The sequence below is a fragment of the Homo sapiens genome, chromosome 22, assembly GCF_000001405.40.
Source record: "Homo sapiens chromosome 22, GRCh38.p14 Primary Assembly".
NCBI classification, from domain to species: domain Eukaryota; kingdom Metazoa; phylum Chordata; class Mammalia; order Primates; family Hominidae; genus Homo; species Homo sapiens.
In genome coordinates, this window is record NC_000022.11 from 27,357,849 (window position 1) to 27,374,099 (window position 16,251).

General features: G+C 40.1%; 3 annotated features.

Moving 5' to 3' along the window:
• Positions 539-1,087: an enhancer, noted in NCBI's record as "NANOG hESC enhancer chr22:27754348-27754896 (GRCh37/hg19 assembly coordinates)". NCBI's record gives its function as "activates a minimal SCP1, AML or CMV promoter by ChIP-STARR-seq in naive H9 embryonic stem cells {active_cell/tissue: H9 hESC(naive)}" and the evidence as "EXISTENCE:reporter gene assay evidence [ECO:0000049][PMID:30033119]".
• Positions 680-974: a silencer, noted in NCBI's record as "tiled region #1424; HepG2 Repressive non-DNase unmatched - State 24:Quies, and K562 Repressive non-DNase unmatched - State 24:Quies". NCBI's record gives its function as "represses a minimal TATA promoter and a strong SV40 promoter by Sharpr-MPRA in HepG2 and K562 cells {active_cell/tissue: HepG2 | K562}" and the evidence as "EXISTENCE:reporter gene assay evidence [ECO:0000049][PMID:27701403]".
• Positions 15,506-16,006: an enhancer, noted in NCBI's record as "NANOG-H3K4me1 hESC enhancer chr22:27769315-27769815 (GRCh37/hg19 assembly coordinates)". NCBI's record gives its function as "activates a minimal SCP1, AML or CMV promoter by ChIP-STARR-seq in naive and primed H9 embryonic stem cells {active_cell/tissue: H9 hESC(naive and primed)}" and the evidence as "EXISTENCE:reporter gene assay evidence [ECO:0000049][PMID:30033119]".

The following is a 16,251-nucleotide window of genomic DNA, read 5'->3' on the forward strand; positions in this document are numbered from 1 at the left end:
AGAAAAGTGCAGCTTTGAGTGAAGAAGTGACATGTGGCTATGGTGGCAGAACTAGGCACATAATCCAGTTCAGTTTGGTGAACAATGACAATGTGTGCCCTTTGCAAGCCCCACGGTGGACATTGCTGTCAGGAGTGGCCTCACAGGAGGTGCCCAGGCCTTAAAGGTAAATAAGCATTTACAATACGGTGTGGTCCACACTGTGATGGGCTTCACGGAGGTCACAAGAGCGCCGAAGGACCACCTAGCATAGCCCAGGATGTGGGAGTGGAAACCTGAGCCAAGACTTCAGGGGTACCAGACAAATCCTGTACTTCCCCTTCTCCCAAAGTCAGCCTGGAGCTCCATGTCTTGCTCCTTAAAGTGTGGTCCACAGACCAGCAGTCTCTGTCACCTGGATGCTGGCTGAAATTGTAGAATTGCGGCTCCACCCAGGCCTACTGCATCAGCATCTGCTTTTTACCAAGATCCCCTGGGAAAGCACACTCGCACTGGAAAAGTGCTGGTCTGTATATTTCAGAAGGACACTGGGAGCCATGGACAGCTCTAAACACAAAGTGGCATCCTCCCAGAGCTGAATCCCCCACCGTCTCTATCTTGGCCACAAACACTTCTGAGCACCAGGACATCCACTCAATTCCCACTGACCCAGGTGACTAGGTCCCAGGAGATTGTGTGTCTATATTCACCTCCCCAACAGAGCAAGTCTGGCCCTAGCAGGTGTGCAAGCCAGTGATCTGGCAATTAGAGCCACTGATTGGAAAATGGGCTGCTTACCTGCGACAAAGGAGGGCTTCTCTTCTCTGAGGCCTTAGACAAAGCAGGCTTCCAGGGCAGCTAATTACCTGATAGGTAGCAAAGCTATCACCTACTGGGCCTTTTAGCTCAGTTAATAGAGCAATTTGCCCAGCCTTTTGTCCTTCTCTTGTTGTGATTTCTTGACCTACAATCGTTTTACAAAATGAGAAAGTTACACAAACGCTGCTTAATCCGGAGTTCAGAACTTGGGGCCCAGCTTCTGGCCAGGCCAGCAGCAAAGCTACTGTAGAACCAGGTACCTAGGAAAAGATGTGGGTCCCTGCTCCTGGGTTTGTAGACCAAACAGAGTATATGAATGATGGCACAGTTTGCAGATTGTCCTATGAAATAATTTAAATAAGATCATCTATATGGGGATTAGTAAAATGTAAGCTCTATTGAAGGATAGCAGTTATTTTCTTAGACCAGGTCATTGAAATTTAATGTGAACACTTTCATATCAAAATGCACACACTGTAAGAGCTAAGGTGTCCAATCATTCCAGTTTGCCATAAGCAAGATCCCAGGCCCTGTCCTCATGGAGCTGGGAGTCTAATGGGGGGAAAGAAAAGAAACAAGTAAGAAAATAAAATAGTTACCCATGATAAGTGATATGTTGGAAACAAAGAAAGAAAGGCCATAGAGTGGCCCAGGAAGGCTTCTCCAATGCCTGACAAATGTCAAGTGTCCAGCCATTTGAAGAGATGTGTATGGGGTTTGAGAGAGAGAAAAGTGGGAGTTCCAAGAAGATGCAGCAGCAAGTGCAAGTGTCCTGAGACAGGGCAGAGCTTGGTGTGTGAGATGTCAGAAGCCTGGCATAGACTGTGTTTGTGTGTGTGTGTGTGTGTGTACACAAATGCACACTTGTATGCCTCTGCTGAGGGCAGTGAGAGGAGATGGGGTCAAGGTTGAAGTAGTGAGCAAAGTCCAGACCATGCAGAACTCATAGACCATGGTAGGAGTTGGAATTTTACTCTGAGTATAATAGAAAGCATTAAAGTGTTGGCCCTACTATTCCTTTCCCTAATTTCTCAAGTCAAATACATTGCTCATTACTTGTCAGTCATCCTCCTTTTGAAACAGATTCATTTTAGGTCTGTATATCTGCCACTAAGTGCAGCTATAGCTGCTTTGCATAATTTTTTTAACTAATAAACTTTACTGTGTTTTAGGATCACAGCAAAATTGAATGGAAACAACCGAGAGCTCCCATATGCCCCCTGTCCCCCACATATGCACAAGTTCCCTCACTGTTGAAATCCCCCACCACTGTGGTACACGTGCTACAGTAAATGAACTTACATTGACACATCATTAGCATCCAATGTCCATAGTTTACATTAGGCTTCACTCTTGGTGTCAGACATTCTATGGATTTGTACAAGTGTGTAATGACATGTACCCATACCTGTAGTATTATACAGAATGGTTTCTCTGCCCTAAAAATCTTCTGTGCCCCACCTATTCATCCTTCCCTGAGCCTACCCCATAGAAACCACTGATATTTTTAACTATCTCTACAGGTTTGCCTCTTACAGACTGTCATATATTTGGAAACATACAGTATGTAGGCTTTTTAGACTGGCTTCTTTCATTTTGTAATATGCATTCAAGTTTCCTTCATGTCTTCTTATGGCTTAATAGCTCATTTCTTTCAGTGCTGAATAATATTTCATTGTCTGAATGTACCACCGTTTACTCATTCGCCTACTGATGGACGTCTCAGTTGCTTTCACATTTTGCCAATTCAGAATACAGTTTCTATAAATATCCATATACAGGTTTTCTGTGAAAAGTTTCTACTCCCTCAGGTAAAAGCCAAGGAGTTCAACTGGTGGATTGTATGATAAAAGTATGTTTTGTTTTGTAAGAAACAGCCAAACTGTCTTCCAAAGTGGCTGTACCATTTATTTGCCTTCCCATCAGCAATGAATGAGAGTTCCTGCGGCTCTATATCCTTGCCAGCATTTGGTATTGTCAGTGTTTTGGATTTGGGTCATTCTAATAGGTCTGTAGTAGTATTTCATTGTTGTTTTAATTTGCATTTCCCTGATGACATACTATGCAGAACATCTTTTCATAGCTTATTTCCCACCTATACCTTCTTTGGTGAGGTGTCTGTAAAGGTTTCTGGGCCACTTTTTAATAGGGTTGTTTGTTGTCAAGTTTTAAGAGTCCTGTGTATATTTTGGACAGCAATCCTTTATCACATATGTCTCTTGCAAATATTTTCTCCAAGCTCTCTTAACATTGTTTCTTGCAGGCAGAAAATTTTAATTTTAATTTTAATGAAGTACGGCTTATCAATTATTTCTTTCATGGATTGTGCCCTTGGTGTTGTACTTAAAAAGTCACCACCAAACCCAAGGTCATCTAGATTTTCTCCTATGTTATCTCTAGGAGTTTTAGAGTTTTGCATTTTACATTTAAGTCTGTGATCTATCTTGAGTGAAGGGTAAAAGATTTGCACGTAGATTGACTTTTTTTTGCATGTGGATATCTTGTTGTTCCAACACCATTTATTGAAAAGAGTATCTTTGCTCCATTGCAATGCCTTTGCTCATTTTGTGAAGATCAGCTAACTATATTTCCATGAGGCTACTTCTGGGCTCTCTGTTCTCTTCCATTGCTCTAGTTTTTTTCTTTCACCAATACCATACTGTCTTGATTACTGTAGCTTAATAGTAAGTCTTAAAAGTCAGATAGTGTCAGGTCTGTTTGTTCTCCTTCAGTATTGAGTCGGCTATTCTGGGTCTTTGGCCTCTCCATATAAATTTTGGTTTTGTTGTTTTCTTTTGTTTTTCTTCTTGTAGAGACAAGGTCTTGCTATGTTGTGCCCAAGCTGGTCTCAAACTCCTGGCTTCAAGCATTTTCCCATCTCAGCCTCCCAAAGTGCTGGAATTACAGGTGTGAGCCACTGTGCTCACCAGTTTATATAAACTTCATAATCAGTTTTCCAATATCCACAAAATAACTGTCTGGGATTTGATTGGGTATTGCATTGAATCTTGATGGATCAACTTGGGAAGAACTGACATCTTGACAATATTGGGTCCTCCTATCCATAAACTTGGAATACCTTCCCATTTATTAAGTTATTATTTAGTATCTTTCATCAGAGTTTTGTGGTTTTCCTCACATAGATTTTGTACATTTTTTTAGATTTATACCTAAATGTTTTATTTTAAATGGAAATAATATGCTTTTTATTTTAAATTTCATTTGTTCATTGCTGGCATTTAGAAAAGTGATTGACTTTTGTATATTAACCTTGTATTTTGTAACCTTGCTATAATTAGTTCCAGGCATTCTTTTGTTGATTCTTTCACATTTTGTACATAGACAAGTCATGTCATCTATGAACAAAGACAGCTTTATTTCTTTCTTCCCAATCTGTATGCCTTTTATTTTATTTTCTAGTCTTACTGCATTAGCCAGGATGTATATTGAAAAGGAGTGCTATGAGGGGATATCCTTGCCTTGTTCCTGACCTTAGTGGGAAAGCTTTGAGTTTCTCACTGTTAATCATGAGGTTAGCTGTAGCTTTTTTTTAGATGTTCTTTATCAAGTTGAGGAAGTTCCCCTCTTTTCCTAGTTTGCTGAAAGATTTTATTATGAATGGGTATTGAACTCTGTCAAATGCATTTTCTGCATCTATTGAAAACAAATTTTTTTCTTCACCCTGTTGATGTAATGAATTACACTTATTGATTTTTGAATGTTAAACCAGTGCCACATATATAGAATAAATCTCACTTAGCTGTGGTATATAATTTTTATATGTTGTTGAATTCAATTTTCTAATATTTTGAGAATTTTTACATGTACATTCATGAGAGATATTGGTTTCTAGTTTTCTTGTAATACTTTTTCTGGTTTTGGTTTTAGGGTAATACTGGCCTTATAGAGTTAGTTAAGAAGTAGTTACTCTGCTTCTATCTTGTAAAAGAGGTTGTAGAGAATTGGCATAATTTCATCCTTAAATGTTTGTTAGAATTCACCAATGAGTGTATCTGGGCCTAGTGCTTTCTGTTTTGGAAGGTAATTAATTATTTATCCAATTTCTCTAATAGATACGGGCCTATTCAGATAGTCTGCTTCCTCTTGTGTGAGTGTGTCTTTCAAGGTATTGGTCTCTTTCATCTAGATTATCAAATCTGTGGACATAGACTTGTCCATAATATTTCTTTATTATCATTTCCATGTCCGTGGGATATATAATGATGTTCTTTCTTTCATTTCTGATATTAGTAATTTGTGTCTTCTTTCTTTTTCTTAGGCCAAGTAGAGACTTATCAATTTTATTAATCTTTTCAAAGAACCAGCTTTCCGTTTCATTGATTTTCTCAATTGATTTCCTGCTTTCAATTTTATTACTTTCAGCTCTAGTTTTTATTATTTCTTTTCTTCTGTTTACTTTAGATTAGATTTTCTCCTTTTTTCTAGTTTCCTAAAGTAGAAATTTAGATTATTGATTTTCAATCTTATTTTTAAAACATGCATCTATGCTATAAATTTCCCTCTAAGCACTGCTTTCACTGCATCCCACAAATTTCGACAAGATGTATTTCCATTTTCATTTATTTCAAAATAATTCTTAACTTCCCTTAAGATTTCTTCTGTGATCCAATTCTATTTTAGAAGTATGTTGTTTCATCTTCAGGTATTTGGGGATTTTGCAGCTATCTTTCGGTTATTTATTCCTAATTGTGCTCTGAGAGCAGACATTGTATGATTTCTATTGTTTAAATTTGTTAAGGCATATTTTATAGCCCAAAATGTGGTCTACCTTGGTGGATGTTACATATGAGTTTGAGAAGAATGTGCATTGTGCTATTGCAGGATAAAATTGTCTATAGATGTCAATTATATCCTCTTGATTGATGGTGCTGTTGAGTTCAAGTTCAACCACGTTCTTGCTGATTTTCTGCCTTCTGGAACTGTTCCTTTCTAATAGGGGGGTGTTAAAGTCTCCAGTTACACTGGTGGATTTATCTATATCTCCTTGAGGCTCTATTGGTTTGTGCCTCATGCAGTTCAATGCTCTGTTGTTAGGTACCTCTGTATTAACAATTATTATATCTTCTTAGAGTATTGACCTCTTTATCATTATATAATGCCTCTCTATTCCTGATACTTTCATTGCTTTGAAGTCTACTCTGTCTGAAATTATTATATAGCTACTCCAGCTTTCTTTTGATTGGTGTTAGCATGAGCTACCTTTCTCTACTCTTTTCCCTTTATCCTATATATCTTTATATTTAAAGTGGGTTTCTTTTGGACAGCATATAGTTGAGTCTTGTTTTCTGACCCACTCTGATAATCATTGTCTCTTAATTGGTATATTTAGACCATTGACATTTAAAGTAATTATTGATATAATTGAATTAATATCTATTATATTTGTTACTGTTTCCTATTTGTTGTCTTTGGTTTTTTGTTCCTAATTTTGTCTTCTACACTTTTTCTGACTTTTGATGCTTTACTTGAGCACCTTATACAATTTCAGCCTCTCTCCATTCTTAACATATCGGTTATACTCATTTTTCAAGAGTTTGCAACATACATTCACAACGAATCCAAGTCTACTTTTCAATAACACTATACCTCTTCATTGTTAGTGCAACTACCTTGTAATGACAAAATATTCCAAATTCCTCCCTCCTGACCCTGTATCATTGAAGTCATTATTTTCACTTATGCATATGTGTGTGTGCCTGTGTGTATGTAATCAAATACATTGTTGCTGTTATTATTTTAAACAAATTCTTATCAGTTAACACAATTTGAAATAAGAAAAACAGAAGTTTTCATTTTAATTTCAATTATTTATTCTCTGATGCTCTTTGTGTAGAGCTGAACTTCTGCTACATTATCATTTTCCTTCTCCCTGAAGAACTTCTTTCAACATTTCTTTCAAGGCAGGTCTACTGACACCAAAATTTCTCAATTTTTGTTTGAGAAAGTATTTATCTCTCACATTTAAAGGATAATTTTGCAGGGTACAGAATTCTAGATTGGTGGGGTTTTTTTCTGTTATACTTTCACTCTCTTCCAGTTTGTATGGTTCCTGAGGAGACATTGGATGTAATTCTTACTTTGCTGCTCTATAAGTAAGGTGTTTCTTCCCTCTGGTTTCTTCAATAATTTTTCTAATTTTTGACTTTCAGAAGTTTGAATATATGTTGAGGTGTTAAGTTTTTTGGCATTTTTCCTGTTTGGTATTCTCTGACCTTCCTGGATTTACGTTTTGATGTCTGACATTAATTTGGGAAGATTCTCCATTATTGCTCTAATATTGCTTCTGTTCTCTTCTCTTTTATTCTTCTGATATTGTCATTATGCATATGTTATTTACACCTTTTGTACCTGTCTCATAGTTCTTGGACATTCTGTTATGGGTTTTTTTTTTCAGTCTTTTTTCTCTTTGCTTTTCAGCTTTGAAAGTTTCTGGTGTCATATCCTCAAGCTCAGATATTCTTTATTCAGTCATGTCTGGTCTACTAATGAGCCCGTCAAAGGCATTCTTATTTCTGTTACAGTGTTTTTTATCTCTAGAATTTTTTATTCCTTCTTAGAATTCCCATCTCACTGCTTACTTTGTTCATCTCTTTTTGCATGTTGTCTACTTTTTTCATTAAAGCCCTTAGAATATTCTAAAGGGCTTAATATCAATTATAGTTTTTTAAAAATTCTGTTCTGATCATCTCAACATTCCTGCCATATATGATCTGGTTCTGATGCTTGTTTAATATCTTCAAACTGTGCTTTTTCTACTTTTTGTATGCCTGTAATTTCTTGTTAAAAGGTGAACATAATGTACTGGGTACAAGGAACTATGATAAATAGCCCTTTAGTAATGTGGTGGTAAGCTGTGTGGGGAGAAAAAGTATTCTATAACCCTGTGATTAGGTCTCAGTCTTTTGGTATGAATTTCACTAGTGCTGCTAAGTTATTTTCCCCTCTTAGGTGGGACAGAATTCCTAGAGGTAGGTGGATTTGGGTATTTGCCTTTCCCCACATGGAAGGCTAGAGCCAGCTAGAATAGGATATTTTCCTTTCCCCAGATGGGTTCGGTTCTTCTGAGGATAGGACTTGCTAAGAACAATCAAAATGGCAAAATGGGTCCTTTTCCACATACTCTGATGGAAGCATGGGAATATTTTTTTCCTGTATTTACTATGAATTTACTATGAGAACCTGGCAAACTTCCTGGAGGTAAAACTCACAAACATGTGGTAGCTCCCTATAAACTGGATCCCCCGGGAGTTTTTAACTCTCAGACTTGTCCACACCAAGCATCCAGAAATTTGTCGATTCCAGTTTAGGTTTTCCATCTCTGGCACTGGTTCCCACTGAGGTTTCTGCTAATGGATTTCTGCTATGATAAATTGTGATTCTCTGTATCCACCTGTTCATCGCTCCAGTTTTGGGGGCAGTGGTTTGCTCTGTGATCTCTTTTCCCCCGACATGTTTAACAAGTGTTGTTGACATTTCCTTGTTTTCATTCTTTTACTTGTTGTTAGGACAGAGCAGCAATTTTTAAGTTCCTTACATGCTGGATTAAAAGCCAGAAATCTGTAATTTTTTTCTCTGTTTTTAATCATCATTCAAGACTAAATATTTGTGGTTAATTTCATTACAATGTCTTCTTTAATAATTGAATTACTTATACGTGTTTTAATATCTAAACATATGATAAGGAAAAACTTGTCTTTTTTTCTTTTTTTCCATAATGGTCAATGACAAAATGTGGATTATTTGAAATATACTGAGACTAGCCCTGTAGTCTGGTAAATGGTAAATATTCTATACGTAGTTAAAAATGTTTTGCATTCTCTAATCACTTCAGGCACACATCTATAAACACCAGTTTATAGAGTTTCATTATTCACAAGTTTCGTTATTCAAATTTCCTACGTGCATATTAACTTTTTGTCTCCTTGATCTATCATTTTCGGAGAGCTATGCTAAACATTTCTCATTACAATTATGAATTTGCCTATGTCTTCTGTCAATTTTTTAACATATACTTTGGGGCTTTGTAAGAGGGGACATATAGGTTCAGAATTGTCTTGCTGGCACATTTTGGCTTCCAACTTTACATAATGAGCCTTTCCCTAATGATTTCTCTACTTTATCTGATATTGCTACAGTATTTCTTTTAGTTTAATATTTACCTGGTTTGTCTTTTTACATTCTTTACTTTCAGTAACTGGTTTTCTTTAGTCTTAGGTGGGTCACTTGCAAATAATATATACGTGGCCAGGCACAGTGGCTCACACCTGTAATCCCAGATCTTTAGGAGGCTGAGGTGTGTGGATCACTTGCTCTCAGGAGTTTGAGACCAGCCTCCTCTTTTGGTGAGACCTCATCTCCACAAAAAATACAAAAATTACCCGGGCATGGTGGTACGCACCTGTAGTCCCTGCTACTCAGGAGGCTGAGGTGGGAGGATGGCTTGAGCCTGGGAGGCAAAGGTTGCAGTAAGGTAAGATCGCACGTCTATTCCAGCTTGGGCAACAGAGTGAGACCTTGTCTTCAAAATAATAATAATAATAAGAAGAAGTGGATTTTTTAAAAACTTTGTCCTTATTTAATCTAAATAAATGTATTTTCAGAATGACTTCTGATATATTTTAGCCTGCTTCTGATCCTCCCTACTCACTTTCTATTGTGTGATATTTTCCTTACATCCTCTCCCTTCTCTCTTTTATTTAACGCTACTGATTTAGAAGTTATTTGTTCTATTTTATTCTTCCAGTGCCAACCCATACATTTTTAACATGCAAACTTGTCTTGAATGCTAAGATTTATCATTGTTATTATCTTCCTGTCAAGCAATATAAGAACTCTAGAACTCCTAACTCTCCCCTTTCTTTCGTAACTGATATTTTAGTTTCATTTTTTTTAATTCTCTTAAACCATAGACATTATTATATCTATATTCTCTGTGCTGGTTTGGATTTCTTTAACATCTTTATCTATTTCTTTGCTCAGTGTTGCTTCTTCCATTCTATTTCTTCTCCCTACATTCCAATTTCTACTTATATCCTTTGGTAATTCTTTTAGTGAGTGTCTCTGAGAAGTAAGCTCTCTTCATTTTGTTTTAGAGTATCTATATTTAACCTCCACCCTTTTATAATGGTTTAGTTGTGTGAAAGAAAAGAAAGAAAAGTTTAACCTGACAATCAGTTCCCTCAACACTTTGAAAATATTATATTTGGCCTCCCCACATATACTGGTGCTAAATAAAAATCCACTGTCAGTCTGATTCTTGTTCCTTCGAAGGCCATTTGTCTCTTCTGTCTAATAGTTTTTCAGATTTTTCCCTCTGTCTTTGGTGTTCTGCACTTTTATCAAGATGTGCCTTGGTCAAGACAGTTTGTTATTGATTGATTGATTCATTCATTTCTCTATTGAGAAGAAGGGCTCTGTGATCCACCAATCCGAAAACACACCTTTCCTCAGTTTTGTCTTTATCTCTTTGACTCATGCTCTCTCCCATCACCATTTTTCTGTTCTTTTGGAAGCCCTATCACACTTAAGTTGGATTCACTCATTCTGTCATCCATGTGTCTCAGTTGCCTTTCCATATGTCCCATGTCTTTATTTCTCCCTGACGTACCCAGGATAGTTTCTTCAAGCATATCTTCCTATTCATAATTTCTGTCTTCCCTTGTGTAATTTGCTGTTGGTCCTATCTATTGAGATTTTAATGATTGTGAGTAGATAGATAAATACATAAGGAGATAGACAGATAATTTAGAATAATAAATACTCAAATGCTCCTTGTTTCTTTTTCAAATCTGCTTTCTTTTTTTTTTTTTTTTTTTTTTTTTTTTTTTTTTTTTTTTTTGAGACAGAGTCTCACTCTGTCACCCAGGCTGGAGTGCAGTGGCGCGATCTCAGCTCACTGCAACCTCTGCCTCTCAGGTTCAAGCAATTCTCCTGCCTCAGCCTCCTGAGTAGCTGGGACTGCGGGCATGCACCATCACACCCAGCTAAGTTCTTTTGTATTTTTAGTAGAGATGGGTTTCACCATGTTGGCCAAGCTGGTGACCTCAGGTGATCCACCCACCTTGGCCTCCCAAAGTGTTGGGATTACCGACACGAGCCACCACACCCAGCCTCAAACCTGCCTTTTATAGCATCCTCTTTGTTATTACATTTTCTTGTACTTTTTAAAATCTTTTTAATCCTCTTAAATATCACGTTTAAAAAATCTCCTTCAGACTACTCTATATGTTTGAGTTTTCCAGGTACTGATTTTTCATTAATCGCTCCTGCTGCTGGCCCTCCCCTGGCTGATTTGTTTCCTATGCTTCTCTGTGATTCTGCTTGTGAGCTTGTCTTCAGCAGAACTGACTGTTCCGGGGGATTCTAGTGTACCCTGAATTACAGTACAATCCACATTGAGGGCTTTCTGGCTTCCTACTTTGCAGTTCAAGAGACTTCTATTGTCCTGGGCCAGTTCTTATGTTACTATCTTATTTGTGGTTCCCACACTACAGAGGAAGAGGGCATCTGTACTCCACATCCATGCATAGGGCAGGATAAGGTTTTGACTTCTTTGGGGGATATTTTCTTCTCTTTTTATGATCCTTTGCCACTTTTTTTTTTTGTTTGAGAAGGAGTCTCACTCTGTCACCCAGGTTGAAGTGCAGTGGATCAATCTCAGTTCCCTGCAACCTCCGCCTTCTGGGTTCAAGCGATTCTCCCGCCTCAGCCTGCTGAGTAGCTGGGACTACAGGAGCACGCCACCATGCCTGGCTACTTTTTGTATTTTTAGTAGAGATGGGGTTTCACCGTATTGGCCGGGCTGGTCTCGAACTGCTGACCTCGTGATCCACCTGCCTCAGCCTCTCAAAGTGCTGGGATTACAGGTGTGAGCCACCGTGCCTGACTGATCCTTTGCCACTCTTAAAGCCCCATATTGTGGAGTTTCTGCCTGCTGCTCTCGGCTGGAGGTAGGGGTGAATTATTTCAGTCTATGTGATCCAGGAGCACTTTACAGAGTGAGGGGGAGGAGGAGGGCTTGTTTCTGAGCCCTTTGCTTTGTGACAGATCTGGTTGCCCATGGTGCTAGGACCCCAGACCCCAGCCTCAGGATTTGTGTCTGCTCTGGCCCTGAGGCTGGGATCTGAGGTCTTAACACCAGCCTGCTACTCTTAACGTCAGCTTCTCACACGGCCCCAGCTTGAACCTCTGTCTTCTGTCTTTGTTTCTGAATCCCGGGGATGTTCCTTCTTTTGTTCACACTGGGAAAATTTTTATAATTGTGTTTATTATTTGATTATATTGTATTCACAATTCTATGCATTTGTATTGAGAGAGGGGAAATGCTACACCAGCTCAGGCAACCATGATGCTGAAAGTCCTCCATGATTTACTATTTCTTTAGTGAAATATTTAAATTGATACATCACATGCAAAATCATTAAAAAGGTACACGTCATAAGGTGCAGCATGATTTACAGCTCAAAGAATCCTCATTTAAGTCAACACACCTGTGTAACTAGCACCCAGACTAAGAAGTAGAAAGCTATCAGCACCCTAGAAGCCACATTTGCACCCCACTTTACTCAACCCCCTCAAAATAATTGTTACCCTGCCCATTGACCCCCCACAGTAGCTTTGCCTATTCTTGATTTTTATAAAATGGAAACATACAATATGTTCTTTTTTGCATCTCACTTCATTTACTCAATATTGTTGATATGGCTTGGCTCTGTGTCGCCACCCAAACCTCAGCTCAAATTGTAATCCCCACGTGTCGGGGGAGGGGCCTGCTGGGAGGTGATTGAATCATGGGGTGGACTTCCCCTTTGCTGTTCTCATGATAGTGACTGAGTTCTCATGAGATCCGGTTGTCTGAAAGTGTGTGGCACTTCCCCCTTTGCTTCCTCTGTCTCCTGCCACCATGTGAAGAAAGTGCTTGCTTCCCTTTCACTTTCTGCCATGATTGTAAGTTTCCTGAGGCCTCCCAATCATCCTTCCTGTTAAGCCTGCAGAACTGTGAGTCAATTAAACCTCTTTTCTTCATAAATTACCCAGTCTCAGGTAGTTCTTTATAGCAGCGTGAGAACGGACGAATACAATTGTGTGTTGAGATTCATCCAAACTCTTATGCGCAGTTGTAGATCATTCGTTTTATTACTGTGTAGTATTCCATCATGTGAATAGACCATAATTTATGTATCCATTCTACTACTGATGGGCAGTGGATGGCTATTACAAATACTACTGCTATAAATATTTGGTGACCATATGGGCTCATTGACGTTGGGTGTGTACATTGAAGTGGAATTGCTGGCTCATAGGTAAGTGCATGTCCAGATATACTTGCTTAGATCCTTCTTGCCCTCTCGTACTTGTCTATCTCCCCAGCTATGCTTAAGGGCCTCGAAGGCCAGGTCTCTGTCAGTATTCACTGCTCTCTGCTCAATACCTTATACACAGTGGGTGCTTAATAAATGCTTGCTGCATAAATAAAGGCATCAGTGAACCCAGGTGGCAGATCCAGGCCTGCCTATCAATCTCACCCCACCCCTACCTGCTCCCCCACACCTGGGGAGTCAGACGCAGAAGGGGGATGATGTCTGGAGGGTAACCAGCCCTGCATGTGAGGAGGACAGGGTTGGGGGATTGGGGAGTGGTGCCAGGGGCAGGCACTTGAGCAGCTGAGCAGACCCAGCCTGGCACTGGCTGCTGGTGTCTCCAGCCTTGGACACATTCGCAATGCAGAGCTCCTCACCTTCCCATTGGGCCACAACATCTTTTGAAATAGCCAAAACGTGTGACCTTCAGCCATGCCACAGCAGAGTCTTGGCCACCAGAAAATTCAACTGGACATGTACCTTTGCTTAACGCAGGATTTCAGGGAGCCTAGAGAGGAGGTTTTTGTTCCCAGTCTCCTATCATTTTCAGAAATGTCGAAAACGCTGACAGGTCTGGGAGAGGAAGCAATTCCCCTTTGAGCTAATCAATATAAGAGCCTCAAGGTGCCTCATGCCTGTGTCAAACATGGGGCTTTCAGCATCAAAGTGCTTGCAAGACTTGGTGAGTTCTTTTTTTCTTTTTTTTTTTTTTTTTTTTTTGTCTTTTTGGCCTGTCAGGTTGTAAGGACACTGTACCTTCAATACATACCAAAGTCACAATGTGTCTGGTTCCTGATCTCCTGCCATGTTCTCAAGAAAGTGTGTGTGTGTGTGTGTGTGTGAGAGAGAGAGAGACAGAGAGAAGGAGAGAGGGAGGAAATGGGGAGGAGAGAAGAGGAGACAGGCAGGGTAAAGAGGAGAATAGAAGGAGAGAGAAAAGAAAGACAGACATGGAAATGAAATAGAGCAGGAGAGAGAAGTGGTAAGAGAAGGGAGAAGAAAAAAGTGAAGAATGAGAACAGACAGACAGGAGACAAGGAACAAAAAATTAGCAAAATGGCCAGAGAAAAGAAAAAAAAAGATTGAGAAATAAAAGAGAAGCAAAGAAAAAGAGAGACAGAAAGGAGTGAGAAAATGAAATAGGCAAGCGGTTCTCAAGACAGAAAATGGGAAAGGGAAGAAATGACTGAGAATGAGAGAAAGATAAAAAGAATAAAAAGATGAAACAGAAGGGAAATGCCTCAAGGGCCCTGCCCAAGAGACTCAGAGACACCCATGTTTTCTCATGACCCTTCATGATGGCAGTTGTCAGGCAGACCCCAAGAAACCCTGAGACCAAACAGCAAGGGGAAGTAGCCAGGCTCCAGTGAATTTACCTTCTCTGCCCTTCAGCATGGAATTGGGATGACCTGAAATGCAGCTGAAAATTCATCCTGAGCTCCCCAGCAGCCCCAGAGAGGAGCTGAAGCAGCAGCTCAGCAGCAAAGAACACTTGGGGCTTTGCCTTTCTGTGGAACTGAGAGTGTCTTCAGGTTGGCTGGGTTCACACCCTCCTGGGTACCAGGACCCCACTCTGTCCATATGAGCCTCTCTGCATTCATTCCCTGGGCCCACCTGAAACCACAGGGTCCTCAGAGTGAAGGTGGCCTCTCAGCTTCCAGGAGATCTAGTGCTGTCTGTATTTTGCCATGTGTGAACTTCAAATGATTTCAGGGACATATTATGTTCCCATTTGAAAGATACTTCGGTATGGCATCTCTATTACCTAAGTCCTTAGTGCTTTGTATGAAGCACAGTGGACAAACATTATGCATAAATACCAACCAAACTGAGCATTGCAAAGCAAAGAGAAATCTGATTCATTGTTTTCTACTTTTTAAAATAATATTTGTACCCCATAACATTTGGGAAAATAAGTTCAAAAACTTGTTTAGAAAAATAAGAAGAATCATACCATAGACTAATACAATGGGAATTCAAAAGAAGAAAAAAAAGATCAAAAAAATGGATAAGAATGCTCTGGGCCTCTGTTCCAACATGGCCAAAAAGGAACAGCTCCAGTCTGCAGTGCCCAGCATGATCAACACAGAAGACGGGTGATTTCTGCATTTCCAACTAAGGTAAGTGGTTCATCTTACTGGGACTGGTTGGACAGTGGTACAGCCCATGGAGGGCAAGCTGAAGCAGGGTGGGGTGTCGCCTCCCCTGGGAAGTGCAAAAGGTCAGGGGATTTCTCTTTCTTAGCCAAGGGAACCCATGACAGACTGTACCTGGAAAAACAGGACACTGCCACCGAAATACTGTGCTTTTCCCGAGGTCTTAGCAACCAGTAGACAAGGAGATTCTCTCCCATGCCTGGCTCAGCGGGTCCCATGCCCACAGAGCCTTGCTCGCCACTAGCGCAGCGGTCTGAGATGGAACTGCCAGGCAGCAGCCTTGCTGGGGGAGGGGCGTCCACCATTGCTGAGGCTTGAGTAGGTAAACAAAGCAGCCAGGAAGCTCAAACTGGGCGGAGCCCAACACAGCTCATCAAGGCCTACTGCCTCTAGACTCCACCTCTGTGGGCAGGGCACAGCTGAACAAAAGGCAACAGACAACTTCTGTAGACATAAACATCCCTGTCTGACAGCTCTGAAGAGAGCAGTGGTTCTCCCAGCACGGCGTTTGAGCTCAGAGAATGGACAGACTGCATCCTCAAGTGGGTCCCTGACCACCATGTAGCCTAACTGGGAGATACCTCCCAGTAGGGGCCGACAGACACCTCATATAGGTGGGTGCCCCTCTGGGACGAAGCTTCCAGAGGAAGGATCAGGCAGCAATATTTGCTGTTCTGCAATATTTGCTGTTCTGCAGCCTCCACTGCTCCTAGGCAAACAGGGTCTAGAGTGGACCTCCAGCAAACTCCAACAGATCTATAGCTGAGGGACCTGACTATTAGAAGGAAAACTAACAAACAGAAAGGAATAGCATCAACATCAGCAAAAAGGACATCCACACCAAAACCCCATCTGTAGGTCACCAACATCAAAGACCAAAGGTAGATAAAACCACAAAGATGGGGAGAAACCAGAGC